Here is a 26,517-nt window from a genome sequence, read left to right on the forward strand (position 1 = left end):
GGAGGATCACTTGAGCCCGGGAGGCAAAGGTTGCTGTGAGCCAAGATCACACCACTGCACTCCAGCCTAGGCAACAGAACTAGACCTGTCTCTAAATAAAAAACCCCAAGATGAAACAAAATGCATGATGGGTTACCAAATAAATAACAGACAACAGTGATTTTAATCTAGTCTTTCACATTTGGCCATCTTTTCCTAGCTATTCCTTTGGAAATAAATGCTGCCTTGTCATTTTCTCTAATATTGGCAATGAGACAGCAGGGAAGGCTTCAGATCTAACCTCAGAAAATGTCAAAGGGGCACAAATTCTCCTATTTCTTTTCCCTTCAGCACAGCAGAAAAGAGAGTCACTGTATAATCAAACTCCATCCAAAGTTAACTGAGTCTTTTGCCACATCCTTTGGCCCTAGCATTAGTTTCTCATACAGCTTTAGGCAGTTAACTGACTTGCCAAAAATGACCAGCGATATGGTACAAAGCTATGAGAGAGGCAGGCAAGCCAGGCTTTTCCGAGCATTGGAGATGAACGCTCAGAATTTTTCTGTACCCAGTCATCTTATATGCAAAAGCGTCAGCTGTCTTAGAAATCTGCCATTAACTCTCAGCCGGGCGCAGTGGCTCACGCCTGTAATCCCAGGACTTTGGGAGGCCGAGGCGGGTGGATCATGAGGTCAGGACATTGAGACCATCCCGGCTAAAATAGTGAAACCCCGTCTCTACTAAAAATACAAAAACAATTAGCCGGGCGTGGTGGCGGGTGCCTGTAGTCCCAGCTACTCTGGAGGCTGAGGCAGGAGAATGGCGTGAACCCAGGAGGCGGAGCTTGTAGTGAGCCGAGATTGCGCCACTACACTCCAGCCTGGGTGACAGAACGAGACTCGGTCTCCAAACGAGAAAAAAAAAAAAAAAAAGAAAAGAAAAGAACGGAAATTTGCCATTAACTCTTGAATCATGGGGACAGGGCAATCTTCTACTTCAGAACTCTTGGGAAGAAGAGAATAAAAATATTCTGTGCCACACTAAAAATGAAAAGGGGAAAGAGGCCAGCAGTCCACAGCCCAGGGTTTCTCCAAGTGTAGTTCAAGAATCATTTGCATGAAAATGTCTGTGGTGTGCAAGAATCTCTTGGAATGCAGATTCCTAGGCCTTAAGAATAATCTTTAGTAAGCTCTTTGGGTAATGCTAAAGCCACTAAATTCGGAAAACATTGCTTCCCTAATCTAACAAAGGCAAAGAAGAGGTGAGAAAGTAAGAATTTTATTTGCTTATTCTCTAATACCAGGTGCTGATTAAAACTACACTTAGTAAAGAAGGACTTGCTGAATTTTCTCAATAGCTTGATTCAAAATGTCAATTCTGTTGGCTGTGTGGGTAAAGAGTTTTAATTTCCTGGACTCCTTTCAGGATCATTGCAATGCATATTTTTCTGGGAGTCAGAGAATCTGGGCTTTTTGCCATCTTCCTCACACCCTGGCTAGGGCTTAATTCAGATGGGATGGATTCCACACCCTGATATTTTTATCAGGGGCATGGTAGTCACCCAATGGAAAGCAGCTACAGAAATGTAGTCCTTGGTCTTAGCACCCAAAAGGTGAGGAGCACAGAGGTTCACTGGTAGTGCAGGGAATGGAGAGGGTCCCTCACACACTGAGTGACAGAAGAGGTTGGCTGTGTCACTGGTATGTAAGGGTTGACACTAGCATTAGATAGGATTTTTCTTAGGATTCCATATCCGGGTAGATCAGAATCTCTTAACCTAGAGCACACTGTACCCACTTTAGAGCAGCTATAGATCCCTGGAACTATGTGAATTTTAGGTGCTTGCTTAGACAACTCTGAGAGGATGTGGAAGATTCCCTATGAAGAATATATGGCACAAAAGAAATCAAGAACCTCTGATGTACCAAAGGGTTATTATGACAGAAGAAGAAAGATGCCCATGGCCTTCAAATGAACAGCAACCTGAAAGCACTTGTACTGAAGCGCTTACAAATGACACTTCCACCACCTGATCTCACCAACTATGGATCCTGCTTTGATGCTGTTTTCAATTTTCTTTTTTTTTTTAATAGTGTATTTATTTATTCATTTTTGAGATGGAGTCTAACTCTGTCGCCCAGCCTGGAGTGCAGTGGTGCAATCTGGGCTCACTGCAGCCTCCATCTCCCAGATTCAAGTGATTCTCCTGCCTCAGCCTCCCAAGTAGCTGGGATTACAGGCGCCTGCCACCACAGCTGGCTAATTTTTTTTTTTTTAAAGTAGAAACAGGGTTTCATCACATTGGCCAGGCTGGTCTCAACCACCTGACCTCAAGTGATCCACCCACCTCAATCTCCCAAAGTGCTGGGATTACAGGCTTGAGCCACCACACCCAGCCTCCTCAATTTTCAAAGATTTTTTAAAGTTGAAATTTTGGCGAAAGCATAGCAGGCTGTCATCACAAAAATTCCAATGTGGACAAGAACCAGTATAAACTGTGACTTTCAGGAATTAGCACAGGGTTTGTAGCCAGAAAACCCGGATTGGGTCTGCCTATCTTTCAGTGCCCGTGTAACCTACAGCAAGTCCCATGACCCCTCTGAGGCTCAGTAGCCTCATCTGCAAAATGGCAATTATACTAACTGCTGCACTGGGTAATTATTAGCATTAAAATGAAAGTGCTTTGCCATCTGCTAGAAGCTATGTTAAGTTTAAGGGCTGTTACTGATGTAGCTTTTTTCCTTTATTACCATTCTGGAAGAAACAGCAGGTATATGGAGTCAAATGCTGAGAGCTAATTGGACCGGGCTTGACTTCCATTTTTTGTCTTTCTGTTTTTAGCTGACACACTAAAAATGCCTACAAAAATCCTTTAACAAAGACCATCAACCAAAGAGTTGTCAACAGTTCGAGAGACTGACCATGATAAATGAGCACCAAAATTAAGTTCATGTGAATCAATGAAAGCATTTGGGTGGCGGGGTGTGGAGAAGGGACTGCATATTCTGGGGCAAGCAACGATCCAAACTAGCAGTCATAAAGGGTTCTTCATACACATCCTGTTTTGGTATGCACGCTTGCCACCACCCGTTTTGGCACCGGCTATCACCCCCACCCAAACCAGCAGGAAGACCAACTCCCAAGAATGAATGTAAGAAGTGGAGACGCAGGATGCTCAATCTTTTCCTTCCCAAGAGTGCAAACTGTTCCAGCGTCTCCTGCTCTTGACCCACTGATGGTCAAAGAGGCTCAAGACTGAGACAGGTGAGCACACAATCTCATTTAGCACGAGTATCGACACAGGGAATTCCAAAAGGTTAACATACCAGTGGTCAAATATTTTGAATCTGACCTTCTAGGCTTCTCTTTGACATAGGCCAGGCATGTTTATATCTAGCTTTCATACCACAGCCCAGTCTAAGACCCTGGATCAGTCTATTTTCACTCCAGTATACTTTTTGGCAAAGTGCAAACCAATTTTTTTAAAAAAGCTACTGCCTCTTTCTGAAGTCCCCATAATCAATACGTCTAAGTGATCTGTTTAGAATACAAATTCCAGGTCACCTGTGCCCTCCTGCAAATAACATCCCACCTGGCTGAAGTTTTTTTTTTTTGGTTTTTTTTTTTTTTTTTTTTTTTTTTGAGACAGAGTCTCACCCTGTAGCCAAGGCTGGAGTGCAGTGGTGTGATCTCGGCTCACTGCCACCTCTGCCTCCCAGGTTCAAGTGATTCTCCTGCCTCAGCCTCCCGAGTAGCTGGGACGACAGGCGCGTGCCATCACACCCAGCTAATTTTTTGTATTTTTAGTAGAGACAGAGGTTTCACCACGTTGGCCAGGATGGTCTTGATCTGTTGACCTCGTGATCCACCTGCCTCGGCCTCCCCAAGTGCTGGGATTACTGGCATAAGCTATCGCGCCTGGCCTGAAGACTTTTAAATCACCACCATCATCAGTTATCTATCAGGACTCCCCTTGGGCATGTGATTAAGATGTGTATTGTTCAGGTAAAATAGTTGAGTAGTACCTACAAGTGACGTTATAACCTTCTTTTACTCTTGATAAGAAGTTAGCCTTGGATATCTCAGATTCTTCAATAACCAATTATTAATGAAACTTAACACCTGCTGTACTTTTTAGACATCAAACTGTAACAAGAACTCATATCAAAAAGACTACTTTCAGCCAGGCACAATGGCTCATGACTGTAATCCCAGCACTTTGGGGAGGTCGAGGTGGACGGATCACCTGAGGTCAGGAGTTCGAGCATGGTGAAACCTCGTCTCTACTAAAAATACAAAAATTAGCCGGGCGTGGGTGGCAGGCGCCTGTAATCCCAGCTACCTAGGAGGCCGAGGCAATTGCTTGAACCCAGGAGGCAGAGGATTCAGTGAGCCAAGATTGCCCCACTGCACTCCTGCCTGGGCAACAGAGCAACACTCCGTCTCAAAAAAAAAAAAAAAAAAAAATGATGACGACTACTTTTTATGGCCTATTCAACACAGCTCATGGTTGGATTCTTCTTCGGACCGAACCATGAATACACTCAGAACATGAACACACCACTCACTGCAGAGTATTATTTAAGGATTTGTTGGCAACTGGCCAAGAAGGAGGTTCTATGCTAGTCACTGATCACTGAGGTAGAAACACACTCTACAACAGCAGAAGCGAGACAAGGATGTTGACACAAATGCAACGTAAAATGCCTGGGACTGATGTGCCTTCTCCTGTGATAAAAGAGAAGATTCCTGAAGCCACATACCTAACACAATTTTCTCTCAGCTTCAACTCTAGGGATCAGGTCAGCCTCACTTCTGGAAAACATGTTTCACTGTGATGTTTATCAAATGCAACTTAAACTAGGGATTCAACTACAATTACACAGTCACATTCCTGTAGTGAGGACACATCATCTCACTAGGTAGGGTTCTCTGCCTCTTAAAGAATGAAAAGATAAGGAAACGATCACCAAATGGGTTACACCACCATATCCTGCAACTGAGCTCTGACGGAAGCGGGAGTCCGAGGGCACTGACCGGACTGGGGCAGAGGGCCAACTGCAAGGTTTGGGGAAAGCCTTTTCTGGGCTCCTATTGGAAAGGGGCACTGGGTGGATCATAGCCAAACTTCTTTGACACACAGGGGCAGCAGTTGAGAGATGATCACACAGAGCTTTCAGTAACTCCCAAATGGACTAGAGCGTATGAGAGATGATAAAGGCCCAGAGAGAGAGGATTTGCCCTTGCCTTAGTCCCCACCCAAACTCACTCACTGATGAAGTATCCACTGAGACTTAATGTCTTTGATAGTGTAACACTCCACTTAAAAGCAAACAAGTGCTATTTTCTTGAAACCTACAATTTTAGTTAAAAAAAAAAATTGTTAAAAAAAATAGGAGTGGGGATGGAGGACAGATCACTCTCAAACCAGACCCTCATCTGCCCTGGAATCACTACTGCATTCCCACTGGTAAACATTTCTGTCTCTTGGTAAGTTGCCCAGAAATTTAAAAACATTTCTAACACAGCCACTTGTTTGTTTGCTTTCAAGAGAAAGAGGTTAAAAAGAAACATCTACTCCCAGGAAGAGGGCAAGCTCATAAAATGATAGTCCTGCTAATATATGACCAAAAGGAGAATGATCTTAACAGAGTAGTACCATGCTGACTAGTGGTTCTTTGATTTCTAACAATTTATAGCAATTGTCTTTTAATCCACTGATAGGAAAGAAAGTAAAATTAAGAACTGTATTTATTGGAAAACAGTTCCTATTCCTTTTGGGTGGGGGTGTGAGGGAGGCAGGGTCTCACTCTGTTGCCCAGGCTAGAGTGCAGTGGCACAATCTCAGCTCCCAGGCTAAGCGATCCTCTTGCCTCAGCCTCCTAAGCTGTGACTACAGGCACTTGCTACCACATCCAGCTAATTTCTGTATTTTTTGTAGAGATTAGATTTCGCCATGTTGTCCAGGCTGGTCTCAAACTCCTGAGCTCAAGCAATCCACTCACCTTGGCCTCCCAAAGTGCTGAAATTACAGGCATGAGCCACTACACCCAGCCCAGTTGCATTCCTAAATACTAGTTTTGACATAACTTAGAGGTAGGTGTGTGTGTGTGTGTATATTAAAGCTGCTTTCATAGTCACAACATCAAGATGGTGGATCCAAGCTCCTCCATTCTTAAATGAGAATATTACTTCCTACATTTCAAAAGCACGAACAATACATCATCTCATTTGATCTCCAAACTCACTCTGTGGGTAAGTTATCACTCCATGGGTAACTAATTCTGTGAGTAACCTTTAAGATGGGTTATTATCCCAACTATATGAAACTGGGAGTTCAGAAAAGTTACTGAGTTGCCCAAAGTCTTCTAACTCCTAAGTAACAGAGCAAGGTCTAAGACTCTCTTTCTTTTGTTCGTATGCATGTATGTATATATTTGTGTATTTATCTTGAGACAGGGTCTTGCTCTGTCATCCAGGCTGGAGTGCAGTGGCATGAACACAGCTCACTGCAACCTTGACCTTCTGGGTTTAAGGCTCAAGCCATCCTCCTGTCTCAGCCTACTAAGTTGCTAAGGCCACAAGCATGTGATATCATGCCTGGCTAATTTTTAAAAACTTTTTGGAGAGATGGGGGTCTATCTTGCCCCAGCTGGTTTCAAACTCCTGGGCTCAAGAGACCTTCCTGCCTTGGCCTCACCATGTGCTGGGACTGCAAATGTGAGCCACTGTGCCTGGCCTAAAACTCCACTTTCTAATACAGTAGCAACTAGCCAAATGTGACTATTTAATTAGAATAGCCACATGTGCCTATTTAAATCTAAATTAATTAAAATTAAATAAAAATTAAAATTCAGTTTTTCAACTCAAGTATGTTCAACAGCACATGCGGCTAATGGTTAGTCTTATAGAAATAGTTCTATCTTCACTTAACATACTATTGGACAGGGCTGGTCTAGCACCTAGTTCTTTTGAATTCATAACTTGGAGAAAAGATCCCATGGCGGCCGGGTGCGGTGGCTCACACCTGTAATCCCAGCACTTTGGGAGGCTGAGGCGGGCGGATCACGAGGTCAGGAGATTGAGACCATCCTGGCTAACACGGTGAAACCCCGTCTCTACTAAAAATACAAAAAACTTGCCAGGCATGGTGGCGGGTGCCCGTAGTCCCAGCTACTCAGGAGGCCGAGGCAGGAGAATGGTGTGAACCCGGGAGGCGGAGCTTGCAGTGAGCCGAGATCGCGCCACTGCACTCCAGCCTGGGTGACAGAGCCAGATGCAGTCTCAAAAAAAAAAAAAAAAAAACATATGGAGTGGAGGGTGAGGAGTGGGGTTAGTGGGAGTCAGCAGGATGACAGGGTGTCGGGGTGGCAGAGGATGTTGGAGATTACAACAGGAGTTGGGGGACACAACAACAACAACAAAAAGATCCCATGGTATCCCAGTATGTATGTATGTATGTATGTATGTATGTATGTATGTATGTATTTATGAGATGAAGTCTCACTCTGTCGCCCAGACTGGAGTGCAGTGGTGCAACCTCCACCTCCCAGGTTCAAGCAATTCCCCCTGCTTCAGCCTCCCAAGTAGCTGGGACTACAGGCATGCACCACCACGCCTGGTTAATTTTTGTGTGTGTGTATTTTTAGTAGAGACTGGGTTTCGCCATGGTAACCAGGCTGGCCTCGGCCTCCCAAAGTGCTGGGATTACAGGCATAAGCCACCAGGCTCAGCCCATCCAAGTATTTAATAAAGATAGCCTGATAGTGACAATGTCAAATCATAACCCCTTCCGGTCTTATTACGAGAAACACTGAAGATTTAGGAAGTTGGTTTATCTTTCCAGGGGCTATAAAAACTAAAAAATGAAAAATTACTTATAATTTTTAGCAGGGGGGTATATGAAAAATCTCCATATCTTCTGCTCAACTTTGCTGTGAAACTGAAACTTCTGTAAAAAAAAAAAATACTATTTTAAAAGATTCAGGGGAGCCTCTCTGCACCTATTCTGGTTCGGGGATTGTTCAATAAATAAAATTAAACTTAGGCCAGTTGCAGTGGCTCACGCCTGTGATCTCAGCACTTTGGGAGGCCGAGACAAGCAGATCATTTTGAGCCCAGAGTTTGAGACCAACCTGGGCAACATGGCAAAACCGCATTTCTACTAATAATACAAAAACTAGCTGGACGTGCTGGCCCGCACCTGTAGTCTCAGCTACTCAGAAGGCTGAGGTGGGAGGATGGTTTGGGCCAGGAGGCAGAGGTTGCAGTGAGCTGAGATTGCGCCACTGCACTCCAGCCTGGATAACAGAACCAGATCCTGTCTCAAAAATATATATAAACAAATTTTAAAAAGTTTTCTTTTGGCTCATTTTATATCTTTATTATCACCATTACTGTTACTGTATCGGCTCAGCCTATCATAAAATAAGTTGAAGTCTCTGTATCCTTTGATTTCTTTTGTCATCTCTGCACAAACTGGGCTAGCCTAAGGTCCTAGATTCTGTCTACTGGTTACTAAATCCTGAACATCTCATTAGTGAGTCACAATCTAATCCATTTTTTTAAAAAATTTAGTTTTAAAAGAGCTTTACCAAAATGTATTTGATTCACATGTACTCAGGAAAAAGAATGTTGAAACCTAGGTTGCATATTTGGTGAAGAATAATGTAAGTTAACGATTCCCAAGTTACAAATAACAAAAACATCATTAAGAATTGCAGGACCAGGCATAGTGGCTCACGCCTGTAATCCCAGCACTTTGGGAGGCTGAGGTGGGCAGATCACCTGAGGTCAGGAGTTCAAGACCAGCCTGGCCAACATGGCGAAACCACGTCTCTACTATAAATACAAAAATTAGCTGGGCGTGGTGGCCGGTCCCTGTAATCTGAGCTACTTGGGAGGCTGAGGCAAGAAAATCGCTTGAACCCAGGAGGCGGAGGTTGCAGTGAGCTTAGATGGCGCCACTGCACTCCAATCCAGCCTGGGAGAGCAAGTGAGATTTTGTCAAGAAAGAAAGGAAAGAAAAGAAAAAGAAAGAAAGAAAGAGAGAGAGAGACAGAATGAAAGAAAGAAAGAGAAAGAAAGAAAGAAAGAAAGAAAGAAAGAAAGAAAGAAAGAAAGAAAGAAGGAAAGAAAGAAAGAGAAAGAAAGAAAAAGAGAGAGAGATATGCAACTTCAGACAGAGAGAGACCGTAGTAATCAATCCTGGCACTTTTAAGAAGAAATTTTAACTCTGCTATGGGTGCACAGGAACATCATTAGAAATGAAAAAAACAAGCTCTGTCAAGAAGACAGAGCAAGGTCTTCGAAGATCTATACGACAAAAATAATTATTTCCTCACGTGTTATTCAAGGTTTTTCTACTACTGGCACATGGGAAAATAGTAAGTTGAGGGTTAACTGTAGCATTAGAAACATGGTACTATATGCTTTATTTCAAGGATTCTCAATTATAAAAGACTGACAAGAGACAAACAAGCTTCTCTCACATCCAGAAAGAATACAGGAGGAGACCCTTTTCTGATTTGTCTAGGTCAGAAAAACTTCCATGTTTTCCTTTGAAAGGTTATCCTCTGCAACAGCTCTCATGCCAGAACGTTTTTCTTAAATTTTCACCTTAACCTTATGACCTTGTACACCTTTAAACATCAAAGAGAAAGGCTTCAGGGGAAGCTTTGAGAACAAAGTGTACCAAATATGACCAGTTTCTTCTGTGAGTCTTCATCCTGGATACAGTGGCATTCCTGGTCTTAATCTTTGGATTTCAAGACCAGCTCCCTATCTCTGCCATCTGTCCTATCCCTCAAGATATGTGCGAGACATCATTAGTGAAAATTTAGGGCCTAGACCATACAAGCCTCTGCTATCTGGCACTCTGTATTTGGTAGAGTTAAGTGACGTTAAATTTGAAACTTATGTTTACATGATGAGAATAAAGAATACTGCAAAATGATTCTGTTTAATAGCACATCAGAAACCAACTTCTGTATCTCACAGTTGAGATGCTATGATCAGAGCATATCAAGCAGTACAGAGAGGTATATAGGAATTAGGGGATTCTTTAATCCCTTCAACTTTATGGAAAGGTCAGACCCCAACACTGAATGACATATAGAAACAGAACAACCCTGAAGGGAAGGGAACCACTGAAGCACACTGTGTCCTACAGATATGACGATGTCAGGACTGACAGCCAGTCCTACGTGGTAACTATGTGCAAGTGTTCTGGAAGATGAGGTAGATGGGTTTTTTTCCTTCCTGGAGGCAGCAAAATTCAAAGGAGAAGAATTTGATAAAAGATATCAACCAGAAATGATGAGACAAAATACAGCCATAACTAACGTGCCCATTCCCTCGGCTTGAGGGCTCTGCCTACCTCCTAAGTTGTACAACAAACTTAAATCTGAGAGCTGTTTTCAGAAACACCTCAGGCTGGCCGGGCGTGGAGGCTCATGCCTGTAATCTCAGCACTTTGGAAGGCCGAGGTGGGCAGATCACTTGAGGTCAGGAGTTCGAGACCACCCTGGCCAACATGGCGAAACTCCATCTCTAAAATACAAAAATTAGCTGGGTATGGTGGTGCACACCTATAGTCCCAGCTACTCGGGAAGGCTGAGGCGAGATAATTGCTTGAACCCAGGAGGCAGAGGCTGCAGTGAGCTGAGATCGCGCCACTGCACTCCAGCCTCGGCGACAGAGTGAGACTTTGTCTCAAAAAAAAAAAAAAAAGACATGGAGTGGAGGGTGAGGAGTGGGATTAGTGGGAGTCAGCAGGATGACGGGGTGTTGGGGCGGCAGAGGATGTTGGAGATTACAAAAGGAGTCGGGGGACACAGGGTAGTGGTGAGGGAGGGTTACTCACTAGGTAGGGGTCTGGCAAAAAAAAAAAAAAAAAAAAAAAAGAGCCTCGTTTTTGGGAACACCAGACCCTATCCATGTACCAACAGGGACGTAAATGAGGAGGAAATTCACACCTGAAACTATTCCCAGTCCTCAACATTCTCTCTCATAATCTAAGCATTTCTTACCTACTTCCTTCTCTAGAAAAGCTGATAACAAGACTATGTCCATAGCTGAAGGTGGATCTTGGTATATGGGAAAATGCAATATTCTCATAGAAGCAGGTCATTTCTATTCCCACAGGAAAGGCAATTATTCTCACTTCACAGACACAGAGAACAACCCAAAGTATACAATTAGATATTCAGGACAATTTTAGAATCCGGGCTCCTGACAGAATGGGAGTGTTGTTTCAAACTCCATGCCCAGAATTCCAACAGGTTTTCAATAGAGCGGTATCTATTTCAGTTTGTCAGACTCTCTCTCTCATATACACATGCACACACTGTACTTTACAACTGGCTGTCTTCATTCATTCCTTCATTCAGTGCCAGGCACTGGGGACGGGACTGATAAAATATACACACACACACACACACACACACACACACACACACACACATATATACATATATATATATATATATATATATATATATATACACACATGAATGATACTTTCTCAAGGAGATCATAGTCTAGCAGGAGATACAAGCATATAAGCAGATAACCGCAATAACCAAAGCATCATTTGTCTTTTTGAGACGGGGTCTCGCTGTTGCCTAGGCTGGAGTGCGGTGGTGCAAACTCGGCTTGCTGCAGCCTCCGCCTCCCAGGTTCAAGCAATACTCCTGCCTCAGCCTCTCAGGCGCGCCACCATGCCTGGCTAATTTTTGTATTTTTAGTAGAGACGGGGTTTCACCATGTTAGCCAGGCTGGTCTGGAATTCCTGACCTCAGGTGATCCACCCTCCTCGGCCTCCCAAAGTGCTGGGATTATAGGTGTGAGTCACCGCGCCTGGCCCATTTGTCTTAACAACATAGAATATTACAAGAAATGCTAAGTAAGGAGACTAATAGATAAATCCTATTAAACAATGATCTCCAGTAGCCCCTGCTACTACAGGAAAGACAGGAAAAAGAAAGCAGGGCACTCAATCTGTGCACTGCTTTTAGACCCTGAACATACTACAGGTCCTGAGAAGTAGCATTATGCTCTCAGAATTAGTGCTGTAATTACAGTTAGTAGCCCATGTGTCAGCACTGAATTGCTCTTTATTTTGTGTATGGGTACGTTTTGGCAGCCCAAATTTTGGCTGTTCAATGCCTTGAGGGCAGATACCATGCCTCTTACTTCTTTAATCTTGGTAGCATCTAGGACTACCCTAGGCACAAAGTAGACACTAAGTATATGATGTCCTTGGTGAAAGGGACAAGTAGATGAGAAACTGGGTAGCTATCTTGTTTCTCCACAGTATGGACTGGGAGGTTTGGAGTGTATTGTAAAGCACAGCATTGCCCTACCTGATCACATTGCTGATACAATGAACAAGCCACCTAACACTTTAAGAACTGGGGGTAGAGAGTCCTTCACTGGAGGGCCACAGAAGACAGCATAATGTAGGTAAATAGTCTGGCAGTGAACTGCAGTAAACAAAAAGATTAATTTGGGACTTAAGCTCCCTGGGCTGATGTTTAGGATAGAAATAGACCCCAAGCCGGGCAAGGTGGCTCACACCTGTAATCCCAGCACTTTGGGAGGGTTAGGCAGGAGGACCGCTTGAGCCCAGGAGTTCAAGACCAGTCTGAGCAACATAGGTAGACTCCATCTCTATAAAAAGTAAAAATAATTAGCCAGGCATGATGGCTCACACCTACAGTCCCAGGGCTATTCAGGAGGCTGAGGTGGGAAGATCTGCTTGAAAGCCAGAGAGGTGGACGCTGCAGTGAGCCATGATCATGCCATTGCACTTTAGCCTGGATGACAGAGCAAGAACTTGTCTCAAAAAAAAAAAAAAAAAAAAAAAAAAAGTTAAAAGAAATAGACCCCAGGCTTCTTACACTTGTTATAAGGTTCTCTTAGAAATGGACCCTATCACTATTGTGGTAGGTCCATTCTGACTTGCTTAAAAGCCTTCAATGGCTTCCCATTGCACTTAAAACCAAATCCAGCTGGGCATGGTGATGCACACCAGTAGTCCCTGCCACTAAGGAGCCTGAGGCAGAAGGATTGCTTGAGCCCAGGAGGTTGAGTTCAGCCTGGGCAACATAGCAAGACCCCATCTCTTAAAAATTAAAATGAAGGCCGGACACAGTGGCTCAGGCTGTAATCCCAGCACTTTGGGAGGCTGAGGCAGGAGGATCACGAGGCCAAGAGATCGAGACCAACCTGGCTCATACGGTGAAACCCCGTCTCTACTAAAAATACAAAAAAAAAAAAAAAAAAAAATTAGCCAGGCGCTGTGGTGGGCACCTGTAGTCCCAGCTATTTGGGAGGCTGAGGCAGGAGAATGGCGTGAACCCGGGAGGCGGAGCTTGCAGTGAGCCCAGATTATGCCACTGCACTCCAGCCTGGGCAACAGAGCAAGACTCCGTCTTAAAAAAAAAAATTAAAATTAAAAGCCAAATCCACCTCCTCCATGTGGGTGATAATGCCCTGGCTCTAGCCCTGCCCACCTTACCCATCTTCACTTGCCCCTTCTCTCTCTCCACCATGCCCCAGCCACACTGGCTTACTTGATGATCTCCAAACACACCAACTTCTGGCCTGCACCAGGCCCAGACACTTGCTTTTTCTTCTCTCTGAGCCCTCTTCCTGCTTTCTGAATGGCCAGCTTCATCTGATCCTTTAGATCTCAGCTCAAATCTTTCCTCTTCAGTGAGGCCTTTCTTGAACATCTTATTCGAAGTGACTCCATCTTATTCCTATTACTTATTAACACACCAATCAGTTAATTTACTTGATAGTACTTACCAGGCTCTGAACTTACCAACTGCATTTCAAGGTGATCCCTGCTCTGAAATTTCTTGTCTACTACTAGTCTTGCCCTTCTAAATATAAATCACCTGAGAGCAAGAGCTGGATTTATCTTGCTGCATCAACTATCACATATTAGGTACTCAAAGATTTTGAATGAATGAATGAATGAATGAATGAGAGCTAGGAAAATATGGTAGCAGTCAGCCAGCAGACAATGAGTTAAAGTGAAAAACATCAGTTCTCCCACCATGAAGCCAGAAGTTGTATGATTGTTTTTTGACTTACAGTGTATCCAAGTAGTGATAACATACAAACAGAAAAGAGAGCCTATGTTCTCTGCTGATGATTTAAAAAAGAAAGGTCCGAAAGATCAAAACCTCACCAGCTCCAGTTTCAGCTCCGTTTATAATGCTGTTGGTATTAAAGGCAAATTTCCTTACTTCTAACAGATTCCAAGGTTTGGTTTCATTTTTCCCCTAAGGGATGGACTTCTGCACCCACTGAGCCCGGTGCCGTGATAGCGCCATCAACGACTCTACTCAGCCATGCTCACGCCCAGGCCAGCCTTAGAGTATCTCAGGATCTCACTCTACATAAAACTGTGGTTGATTCAAAATACCAGAAAAGAGGTTTCTCTTCCTAAGAACCAGAACATGAAGGCAAAGCATATGGGAGAAGTGGTTCTTCCTCACAATACACCAGGCTCAAGATCTGCCCCTCCTATAAAGGGAAGTATAACAGAGTGAAAACTCTTTTAAAGGTGCAATTCCAAAGTAAAGGAAAATTCAGTGGCACCCTTTACACCTAATTTAAACCAGGTTTGACCCTTTAAACACAGTTTGTTTCACTGAACTTGATCAATTAGTTATCTTAACTATTTAGTGATTGAGCTCTAAACTTGGAAAGTCATGAGAAAGAAGAGAGTGGAAAATAAAACGCATCATCCTTGTTTTATGTTAGATGCTTCCCATGGCATACTCGGTGAACACAGCCATGTCCTAAAAGCAATCTACCAAATGCTGAGAGAGAGAGGCACTTACGCGGCATGATCCCTTGGCTCACCAGTTCTTCCCGGGTCCGGCGCTGCTGGAGTTTCAACTGTAGCACTGCAGGGCAGCAGAGAGAGAGGAGAGATGAGGGGTCAGTTGGGTATTCCACCTCAAAAAACACATTTTCAAACGCAAAAAAAGTCTAAAAACAGAAGGATGTAGTGTGAAAGAAGGGTCCCCTTGAAGTGCAACTGTCTGTAATTGCAGAAGTGGCCTGATACAGCAGAGTTTCCGTATTCTGCTGTGGGCGGTGAGAGGAAGTTGCGAAGGGTCTTGCAGGGCGATAACAATCCACAAAGCATCAGAGTCTTGCCTTTTGCTCAAAACCTCCAAAACACTGAGTCCTCCTCCTAAAACTTTTTTAAAAACACCTCTTCCAAACTCAAAATATCCTAACGAGGACCACCACCCAGCAAAAAAAGCTTTCCAGATGCTCTACGCTTAACAAATGTTTACCACCATAAGTATAGTGAATGAAAGAACTACTCACACAGATCAGGAAGTACTATTTGTAAACTCTTTTTCTTTTGTATCTAAAAATTATAGCCATTTCACCAAGCAATGCCTTTTTCTAGCCTAGAAAATATTTTACCGTTAATATGCCTCTGTTTTTCTTCTTTCTCTTCACTTAGAGCCTTTTCTGTTGAGGTGAAACAATTCAGCTAGATGACTCAAAGCACATCCGGGCTAGGGGAGACTGATGGGTGTTTCTCTTATTTTCACTCTGGCAATACTGCTTAATGAAAAAACTTAATAGGGATTTTTTTTAAGTTAAAAATCAACTATCAGCCAGGCACAGTGGCTCATGCCTACATGTAATCCCAGCACTTTGGAAGACCGAGGCGGGCGGATCACAAGGTCAGGAGTTCGAGACCAGCCTGGCCAAGACAGTGAAACCCCATCTATACTAAAAATACAAAAATTAGTCGGGTGTGGTGGTGCGCGCCTGTAGTCCCAGCTACTCAGGAGGCTGAGGCAGGAGAATTGCTTGAACCTGGGAGGCGGAGGTTGCAGTGAGCCGAGATCACACTACTCTCTCTCACTCCAGCCTGGGTAACGAGAGTGAGATGCTGTCTCAGGAAAAAAAAAAAAAAAAAAAAAAACAACTATCTTTCTTTCAAAAGCCAGTTAAACCTAAACGGTGTTACAACTACAAACTACACAGAATGACAATGGCACAGCTGTCATTCAGAGACTAAATGAGAAACTGCAGAGGTTGCAGTGAGCTGAGATCATGCCACTGCACTCCAGCCTGGGCAACAGAGCAAGACCCCGTCTAAAAAAAAAAAAGAAAGAAAAAAAAGAAAATGTTCAGAGGAGGAGGGTTAGGAGGATCCCACGGGCCAAGGAAAGCCTCCTTACATAATTAAGTCTTCAGGTGTAGGGGCCTTCCAAGTCACATCTGAGAGGAACCAGAATCTACTGGGAATCATCTTAATATCTGCCTTTTTCTATCCACAGAGTAGCTTTTAGGGAGGCGTCCAAGAATCGCAGAACCATAACCATGCGCCTGCCTACATCTCAAATTCAGTAGATCCAAAGCCAAACTTGTTTTCCTCCCAAAAACCTAATCCCCTTCCCATCCTTCTTACTTCTTTAATGATATCACTATCTTTCCCAGTATTTTTTAAATGTCTGGGCCAACTTCAACTCTACCTCCTCACACTCACACTCCCCTCTTATCAATTTTACCCTGCCATGTTTTCCCATGCTGCAGTGGTAGCTCCCTGGCTGTGTCCTTGCCTGTAGTGTCTCTCTCCCATTTCAAGTTATCTTAATCAAGCCTGGCCAGTTACTCTTCCTCAAGTACCGTGAATTTTTTCCTACCTCTTTTATTCACTTCACCTGGAAATGCCTACCCTGTTCATCTGAACTTCCCCACTCACTCCACAGCATTCAGTTACTCTAGGCCTCCTGTGAGCTACCTTTTATATGTTAGGGAAAAGTATAATATTTTGCCTTGTGTAATAGTAGCCCTTGAACATCTTACTTCTCCTACCAGTTTATAAGTTCCTGGAGAGAAGAGAATATCCCTTACTGATATATGTCCCCCATAGCACTTAATACATAGTAGGCATTCAACAATGGTTTCTTGTACTGAACTGGATCTCAAAAGGATGTTACAAACAGTCTGAGAAACTGAACCAAGAGGCTATTATTATTTTACAAATTACCATTGTTAAGAACAAAGCCTTGGAGAACTAAATCGATAAAAACAGCAGGAGCTACAATAATAGCTGACACTTATGACGCACGTACTCTGTGCCAGACACTGTTTTACATTCTTTTATATTTTAACTTACTCTTCCTAACAGCCATATGAAGATACATTTTGGTGTTTTATTTTTTGAGACAAGGTCTCACTCTGTCACCCAGGCTGGAGTGCAGTGGCATGATCTCAGCTCACCAAGGCCTTGACGTCCCTGGCTCAACAGATCCTCCCACCTCAGCCTCTGGAGTAGCTGGAACTATAGGTGCATGACACCATGCCCGGTAATTTTTTAATTTTTTTTTTTGTAGATACAGGGTTTCACCATGTTGCCCAGGTTGGTCTTGAACTCCTGGGCTGAAGTGATCTGTCCGTCTCAGCCTCCCAAAAGTGCTGAGATTACAGGTGTGAGGCACTATGCCTGGCCAAGATAGGTATTATTAATCCTATTTTACCGAGAAGCAAAGTGAGGCCCAGCAGGTTTAAGTAATACACCTAAGGCTATCCCACTAATAAGAGGTAGAACAGGATTTGGAGACAAGCATTCTGATTCCAAAACCTGGGCTCCTTACTTTGCCTCTCTAGGATCTTCTGAAAGCCTGCTCTACTGTGATAACAGGAGTGGAGTGTGATCACCTGGGTTTATTCTCTGGTGAGACAGACAAAGGGGCTAAAACAGATGGTTCGACCAGAGTGAAAGGAATTCAGGTGATCAACTTCAGTAAAACAAATTTACTCTAGGAAGTTGATTTCAGAAAAAAATTATAACCATAGATCAGCAACAATAATTGCATTAATAAAACACAAATAATAAATGAGTGTGCTACTATGTGTCAGACCCTGTGTTAAGTGACTGTCATGCTTTTAACTTATTTAATCCTTTAAAAAAGCCCTGTGAGGATGCTACAGTTATTATCTCCATTTTACAGATGAGGAAACTAAGAATCAGACCTTTAAAAGTTTGCCTTCTGTCACACAGCTCAAAGGTACTGGAACTAGGATTCGTACCCACATTTCTGTGACTCTAAAGTGGAGGCACCTGATCATATGCAATGTGCCTCTTTGTCAGAAAGAAAAAGGAGAGCCAAGCAGGATAAAATCTAAGAGGGATAAAAGGGCAAATAATTGTCATCTTTTAGAGTGTTTCTAAAGCCCAGTGTAAGATGAACTATTAGAAAATTATTAAATGTGACAAATTAATTTTATTTCAGAGAATAAGGGAACAATGCAATTCAGTAAGTCTGAACACTTCAAAGAAACAATAACATAAGCAATGGCTATTAATCCAAGAATAATTTTGAAATATTAACCACTAGCCTTCTTAAGTAAACCATATATGAATAGGGCCATAGGGATATTACATAAACTTCTTGATTGAAAAACTTCTTGCTTCATGAACGCAAAAATTTAAATTTATGAAAGCTAACACATTTAATAAATTTGATTCAAGTTTTCTGTGGAGATTACAGTAAAGGCATATTCAGCTTATATATACATACACATATACACAACCGTGTATATATTATGCATGTATATATATATATATATTTATACACACACATATACAGCTCCAGTACAAAGACGAAAGCTTATCTAATAAACCTTTTCCATCTCTAAAACTGAATGAAATTAAAGTTCAGTTATCTGAAAATTCCATCTTGTCCCTCCCAGGAGTTAACTTTGAACTCTGTGCTTATCTGACATCTGACAAAGTTCCCCACTCAAATAACAGAATTATCCTGTATCAGTATCATCTTGGGTACTGCAATAACCTGATTTAGGTATGTGTTGTTTTATGCACTGCATAACCTTCAATGGTTACAAAGAGGGGGAAAAAAGACTGAAGCAGTAAACTCAGAATTATGGCAGTCAACCTATAATTCATTTTGTTTTATAATTTATCTGCTTTATGTTTATCTGTGTAGACTAAAAATGATCCATCGTCTAAGACTTCCAACTACAAAGAAACAGCTGTTTATATGGAGTTTTTGTTTCCTTGGTCTATTAATTCCTCTTAATTCTAAGCATTCTAAACAAAATGACTTTACATTTCCAGACCTTAGGATTATTCATTTTAGAAGCAATTATTTAATAACCTACTTTCAGTAAATACCACAGAGCCATATGTTCTGTGTTCACTGCCAAAGTTACCAAAATCAGGAATAAATTTCAGAGGCCATAAATTTAATACACATCCACTCTCACCGAGAAATATCTGAAACAAATGATGATTTTTCACAGACAGTATAAGCCTATGGAGATTTAGGAGAGTAGGAATTTTGACATCTTTCTATGTCATTGTATATCACTACTTAGATTTGCTCATCATTCCCCAAGCCAATAAAGACTCAACAAAAATATTTATTTGTATACAAGCATAAGTCTTTAATCCTTTACTGTTACTGATTTCCACAAATTTAATATATCATGTTTCTAAATGGGCCTGTGTGAACAACCTATACATAGATGAACAGATGTCTTTAGAGCTGATGGGTGGTGAATCAACTGAGTTGCCTGCCAGAAAAGAATGGAATAAAAAGAAAAGAAACCCAACCATAAAGTGAAAAACCCTAGGTTCTCCACTCTCCATGGAAATAATCAAGTTTTTTACCTGCCTCAAACAAAGGCATCAATTGCTATTTGAATAACTAGCTACTTTGGGGGTGAGGGAAAAGCCAAGGAGTGACCTTAATATATCTCTGCCCTGTAAGACCATGGAAGGATGTTGATAGGATTCGAGGGGTAATACCCAAGAAATGAACACATCAAACAGCTGGGTCAATCAAGACTGGAACAAGAAAGGAGTAAGAAGTGGAGTTCTCAAGCCTAGCTCTTCCACCGGTCATTTGTCCTGGATTTCACTGGAAAGGAAACATGCAGTTGATAGCTGTTCCTACCTTATACATGTATTGATTCCACCAAGACTTCTACAATCAGAAGATAAAGTATAAATTATGAGGAAGTAGAAAAGAATAGGAAGGTGGGGTTAGTATGGGAAGAACAGGACAGTAAAAAAACAAGACCCCTCCCTCCACATAATCTTTTGCCCAGCTAAGTCCTCTCAAGGAAGATTCTCAGACTGTAGGGACATTTCATTAACTGAGCTGTAACTCAGGAATACTGACAAGTCTTTTTCTCATGAAACTTCTAATCAAATGACAATAAACTTGGCCACCACTTTTCAGAATATTTATGTTAGAAAAGGCTCCAAAACAAACTTGTTGATGAGTAAAGGAAATGCCCCTGGACTAGAAATTATATGCCAGCCAAAACAGTGCTGCATTTGAAAATTAATGAGGTGTATATGCTTGAGGAGACCAAAATGCAGACAAGCCTTCTCAAAAATCTTTTCTCTTCCCCCACTCAGATATTTGGCTTCCAACTCTGGAGGCTGTCATACTTCAGGGGGGAAACTGCTATCCAGAAACAATCAACTGAAAGACTGGTCTGGTTGGAGCCAAGTTTGAATGCATCAGTTTTCATGAGAATTAACAATGACCTTCACACTAAAAACATTAAAATAGCCCCAGTATACTAGAAAGTAAATTAATAGATGTCATTTCTGGCATTTGTAAGGTACAACTAATACTAGAGCATTTCTACATTTTAATAAATTGCATGGTGCTTATTTAACTAACTTTGAATAAGGAGTATTTGAGTTTATCTCCTCTAAAAATCGCAATCTACCTCACTCTCAACAATAGACAGAACAACTAGGTAGAAATTAGTAAGGATATTGAAACAGTTCAAATGTGTGCCCCCTCCAAACCTCATGCTGAGATATGATCCCCAATGTTGGAGGCGGGGCCTAGTGGGAAGTGTCTGGGTCATGGCGGCAGATGTCCTGGGAGTGGCTTGGTGCCCTCCCCGCAAGTAATGAGTTCTCACTCTTTTAGCTCATGTGCATGCTGGTTTAAAAGAGCATGGGATCTCTCTTGCTCCCTCTCTCGCCATGTGACACTCCTGCTCCCCATGTGCCTTCTGTCATAAGTAAAAGCTTCCTGAGGCCTCTCTAGAAGCTGAGCAGACGCTGGTGCAATGCTTGTACAGCCTGAAAAACCATGAGCCAAATAAACCTCTTTTCTTTATAAATTAACCAGCCTCATGTACCCCTTTTAGCAACCCAAAACAGACTAATGCAGACATATAGGATTTGAACTACACCATCAACCAAATAGAATTAACAAACATATAGAACACTCCACCTAACAATGGCAGAATATACACTCTTTTCAAGCACACATGGAACACTCCCCAGGTCACAACACATACCAAGCAATAAAACAAATTTCAGTACATTTAAAAGGATTAAAATCATTCTGTGATGACAATGGAATTAAATTAGAAATCAAAAACAGGCCAGGCATGGTGGCTCACACCTACAACCCCAGCACTTTGGGAGGCTGAAGCAGAAAAATCGCTTGAGGCCAGGAGTCAGAGACCAACCTGGGCAAAATAGCAAGACCCCCATCTCTATAAATATTATGTATATAAAGAATATATGGCTGGGCACAGTGGCTCACGCCTGTAATCCCAACACTTTGGGAGGCCAAGACAGGTGGATCACCTCAGGTCAGCAGTTCAAGACCAGCCTGGCCAACATGGTGAAACCCCGTCTCCACTAAAAATACACAAATTAGGCAAGCATGGCGGCGGGTGCCTATAATCCCAGCTACTCAGGAGGCTGAGGTAGTAGAATTGCTTGAACCCTGGAGGTGGATGTTGCAGTGAGCCGAGATTGTACCACTGCATTCTAGCCTGGGTGACACAGCAAGACCCCATCTCCAAAATTTTATATATATATATATATATATATATATATATATATATATATATATATATAAAGAAACATAATAAAGAGCAAAAGAAAATTTGGGAAATTCATAAATATGCAGAAATTAAAGAGCACACCCTTAAACAGCCAATGGGTCAAAAGAGAATGAGAGAAATTAGAAAGTACTTTGAACTAAACAATTTATCAAAATTTCTGGAATACAGCTGAAACAGTGCTTAGAGGGAAACTCATAGGTTTATATTAGAAAATTCACAGCCTACACTGGAAAAGAAGATCTGAAATACATGCGGTAAGCCTTTACCTTAAGAAACTAGATGAATATGAAATTCAGCTAATTTTAAAAAAGGAAACTAGGAAAAGAGCAAATTAAACCATGGTAAGTAGAAAAAAGGAAATTAAAGTGGTAAGCAATGATACAGAAAACAGAAAAACAGGCCAGGTGTGGTAGCTCACGCCTGTAATCCCAGCACTTTGGGACGCCGAGAAAGGCAGATCACCTGAGGTCAGGAGTTCGAGACCAGCCTCACCAATATGGTGAAACCCTGTCTCTACTAAAAATACAAAAATTAGCCAGGTGTGGCAACAGGCGCCTGTAGTCCCAGCTACTCGGGAGGCTGAGGCAGGAGAATCACTTGAACCCGGGAGGCGGAGGTTACAGTGAGCTGAGATTGTGCCACTGCACTCCAGCCTAGGTGAAAGAGCGAGATTCCGTCTCAAAAAACAAAACAAAACAAAAAACAAAAACAACAGAGAAAATCAATAGTCATAAAAGTTTGTTGTTTGAAAAGAACAAAATTGATAAACCTTTACCTAGACTGCCAAGAAAAAAACAGAAAATACATACAAAAATCAGAAATGCAAAAGGAGGCCGGGTGTGGTAGCTCACACCTGTGATCCCAGCACTTTGGGAAGCCAAGGAGGGTGGACCACCTGAGGTCAGGAGTTCAAGACCAGCCTGGCCAACATGACAAAGCCCTGTTTCTATTAAAAAAAAAAAAAAAAAAAAAAAAAAAACAAGAATTAGCCAGATGTGGTGGCACGCGCCTGTAATCCCAGCTACTTGGGAGGCTGAGGCAAGAGAATCGCTTGAACCTGGGAGGCAGAGGTTGCAGTGAGCCGAGATCATGCCACTGCACTCCAGCCTGAGCAACAGAGCAAGACTCCATCTCAAAAAAAGAAAAAGAAAAAGAAATGCAATGGTCAAATTCCTAGGAAGGCATAAATTATTGAAATTGAAGAAAGAAATAGAACATCGGAATAGATGTATAACAAGTAAGGAGACTGAAATAGTAATCTTCCCACAAAGAAAAGCCCAGGTCCAGAAAGCTTCGCTGATATATTTCTCCAAATACTTAAGAATTAATACTGGCTGGGCGCGGTAGCTCATGCTTGTAATTCCAGCACTTTGGGAGGCCCAGGTAGGCGGATTGCTTGAGCTCAGGAGTTCGAGACCAGCCTGGGCAACATGGCAAAACTGCCTCTACAAAAATGAGCCAGGCATGGTGGCAAGTGCCTGTTGTCCAAACTACTCGGGAGGCTGAGGCAGGAAAATCACTTGAATCTGGGAGGTCGAGGCTGTAGTGAGCTGAGACCACACCACTGCACTCCAACCTGGGTGCCAGAGCAAAACCATCTCAAAAAAATAAATTAAAAATTAAAAAGAATACCAATCATTCACAAACTCTTCCAGGAAACAGAGGAGAAAACACTTCCCCAACTCATTTAATGAAGCTGGTATTATTCTCTGATTCCAAAGCCAGAGAAAGACATCAAAACAAAACTACAGGTGAATATGCCTTATTAACATAGTCACAAAATTCCTCAACAAAATACTAGGAAATGAAGCCAGGACTGGAACCAAATATTCTGTATCCTTATCCCTGTAATCCTTCTCTCATTCCAGTGATTCTCAACCCTTACCCTTCACAATGAAATCATCTGGGAAGGTTTTTAATTGGTCTGGAATGGGGCCTAGACCTCATCTCTTTAAAAAGCTTAGCAGGTAATTCTAATGCAATGCCATGTCAAGAGCTACCCTATGTAATGCTAATTTGGCCTAATTTAAGCTTACTTTATATGGAGAAATTAAATATGCTCCACCCATGTTCGTGATGCCAATGATAGATCATGGCAAGTAAATAGTGCGAAGCAGGTTTAATCCACCTAATAAGCAGTAAGTAGCCTTTCCTCTGATACTGTTTTAAGGCACATCATCTTTTGCTGTGTTTTGAACAATGATTCAGTTTTTAAGTTAAAATTTTTTGACAATAAACATGTTATTATTTCCATGATCATTTTTAATATTTTTTCACATTGAAAAACTTAAGAATGAATAACAAATAATTTTTTTCTCAAATTCCTTTTTAACAAACGAATAATTTAATAAACAATCATGTGAACACTTCTAGGAGGTGTCAACTCCCATCTCATGAAGTTTAGCATTAAACTCAGACATCTAGAGAACAGGATACAGACCAGGGATATCCACTGTCACAAATTATCAACACATTTCCCAGCTTCCATGGTGTCTTGGCATCTTAGCTATGGACCTCCCAGGACCTGGAGGACACAGGGCAACAGAGACCACAACAAATTCACACATAGCTCCTGGAGCAGAGGACAAAGAGCAGTGAAAATGGACCCCCAAGCTCTGGCTAAAAATTGTTAATTTGTTCAAAAGTTTCCAACAGGAGAGAAATTTCATTTTCCAACATACTTCTTCCATAAAATGTATTTGTAGACTACCACTAAAGGTTTGTCAAGGGGAAGAAAATGGCTAAAGAACAACCCAATAAAGAGATAAAATCTGTTATCTCTAGATGCACTTCTGTGAATTTTCTATCTAAATTTAATGCATACGATATGATGCAGTATCTTCTAAGTTCTCTTTTATATACAGTGTAGTACATTTACTAATAAATATTAACTGGTTTTTATTTTATTTGAGACAGGTTCTCACTCTGTTGTCCAGGCTGAAGTGCAGTGGTATGATCACGGCTCACCGCAGCCTTGACCCACCAGGCTCAAACAATCCTCCCACCTCAGCCGCCTGAGTAGCTGGGATTATAGACTTGTACCACCACACCCAGCTAATTTTTAAATTTTTTTGTAGAGATGAGGTCTCACTGTTGCCCAGACTGGTATCGAACTCCTGGGCTCAGTTAATCCTCCCACTTCGGCCTCCCAAAGTGCTGGGATTACAGGTGTGAGCCACTGTACCCAGCCAATATTAACTGTTAAAAGTAGTTTCGGATGGTATTTCCTTACTCTAAGTTCATAGCCTCCTATAAATTCCTAAAGCTTGATCTGCTAATAATTGGTATATTTTTTCTCTAATTTTCAGGCACCAGTCCCAGAAAAAATAAGCAAATGCAACTTAATTCAGCAACAGACACCAATACTTTTAGCTTCAAACTAGGGAATGTGTTTTACCAGGAAGGTCAGAGAAGGAACAGGTTGGGTGCTAGCCTTAAGTGAAGCTCAGCATGCAGATAATTAGAATACCCATCTTTGCAACAGTGAATTATACCTATTTTACTGGTGTATTTTACATTATATTTATCCTATATGCCTGAAAAATCATTTAGTGGCATCCAAATTGTAAAACCACATGGCCTACCAATTAGAACCAAAGGCTGTTCAGAACACTCACCAGTTTCATTCTTAGAATGCATGATTAAAAGTAGGTGAAGGGTGTCCCCAGAAGCAGGTGCTACTCAAGTTCTGCTGCCTGGGTTACTTTCCAGCATCACTACCAATATAAGGATTGGGAATCAGGGTGTGGAGAGAGATCTTCTCTATTCACTCACCTAACAAGTATTTACTAAACAACTATAGGTTGGCACAAAAGTAATTGAGGCTTTTGTCATTGCTTTTAATGGCAAAAGCTGCAATTATTTTTGCACCAACATAATACTATTGTGTTAGGTCCTGTGCTAGGTACTAGATACACCTATGATCTCTGCTCACATAAAGCTTTCAGTCCAGTGGGACAACAGAGATCAAATCAATGACAACAAACAAATAAATTCAAGTTGTGATCAATATTTTACAGAAAAAGAAAAAAGGATATGAGAGAGCCCTGAACTCTCCAGTATTTCCTTCTTTAATGTTATATGATAATAAACTTTTCACATTGCTCTTTATATTAATATACAGTCAATTGTTTACGATGCTAAAACTCTTTGAAAAGTAGAGATTTCAGGGGAAGTCATAAAAACAAGTAAGTTAAGGCACACAGTGTCATTTACTCACTTTACTCTCACTTGCTTGGATGCTCTAGAGTTCATGTACTAGTTGGTCAGCACATATACTTACCTCACATCCATGCCTTATTCAGTTCTTCCTTAGCTCCTTGTCCCAACCTCTCTTTCCTTGCATTCATTCAAGAAATATGAGGGCCTACTGTATGCCAGATACTCTCTGTTTGTTGCTGGGGATACAGTAGTGACTGAAGGCCCCACCTTCAGTGAGTTTACAGTTTCATGAGGGAAACATACATAAAGTAAGTTCTAATTTGTGTGAAGAGTATTTCCAAAGAAAACAGACACTATATCTTAACTGATTTGATTGTTCCCATAATTCAATTCATGTATTCAAATGGCTTTTTTTTCTTTCTTTCCTGAGATGGAATCTTGCTCTGTCACCCAGGCTGGAGTGCAGTG

General features: G+C 41.8%; 1 protein-coding gene across 5 annotated transcripts in view, besides 3 other annotated features; it reads right to left on the bottom strand.

The window, feature by feature from the left end:
* The window catches only part of MRTFA (myocardin related transcription factor A), a 226,431-nt gene that overhangs the window by 38,092 nt on the left and 161,822 nt on the right, over positions 1 to 26,517 (bottom strand). For 4 of the 5 annotated variants that reach the window (NM_001282661.3, NM_020831.6, NM_001282662.3 and 1 more), the window contains one exon: positions 14,841 to 14,906. In NM_001282661.3, coding sequence (NP_001269590.2) covers positions 14,841 to 14,906 — 66 coding nt within the window. Of the gene's footprint in view, positions 1 to 14,840; positions 15,061 to 26,517 lie in introns of those variants that run through there. The other variant, NM_001282660.2, reaches the window with a different exon arrangement.
* Positions 7,350 to 7,573: a silencer, noted in NCBI's record as "fragment chr22:40851734-40851957 (GRCh37/hg19 assembly coordinates)". NCBI's record gives its function as "represses an EF-1alpha promoter that drives an FKBP-Casp9 reporter gene in an ReSE screen in HepG2 liver carcinoma cells and phorbol 12-myristate 13-acetate-treated (for megakaryocytic differentiation) K562 erythroleukemia cells {active_cell/tissue: HepG2 | K562(+PMA)}" and the evidence as "EXISTENCE:reporter gene assay evidence [ECO:0000049][PMID:32094911]".
* Positions 15,169 to 15,278: an enhancer, noted in NCBI's record as "active region_19093". NCBI's record gives its function as "activates an Ori minimal core promoter by ATAC-STARR-seq in GM12878 lymphoblastoid cells {active_cell/tissue: GM12878}" and the evidence as "EXISTENCE:reporter gene assay evidence [ECO:0000049][PMID:35858748]".
* Positions 23,495 to 24,153: an enhancer, noted in NCBI's record as "OCT4-NANOG-H3K27ac-H3K4me1 hESC enhancer chr22:40867879-40868537 (GRCh37/hg19 assembly coordinates)". NCBI's record gives its function as "activates a minimal SCP1, AML or CMV promoter by ChIP-STARR-seq in naive and primed H9 embryonic stem cells {active_cell/tissue: H9 hESC(naive and primed)}" and the evidence as "EXISTENCE:reporter gene assay evidence [ECO:0000049][PMID:30033119]".

This window comes from Homo sapiens, chromosome 22 (assembly GCF_000001405.40).
Source record: "Homo sapiens chromosome 22, GRCh38.p14 Primary Assembly".
In the NCBI taxonomy this organism is placed as follows: domain Eukaryota; kingdom Metazoa; phylum Chordata; class Mammalia; order Primates; family Hominidae; genus Homo; species Homo sapiens.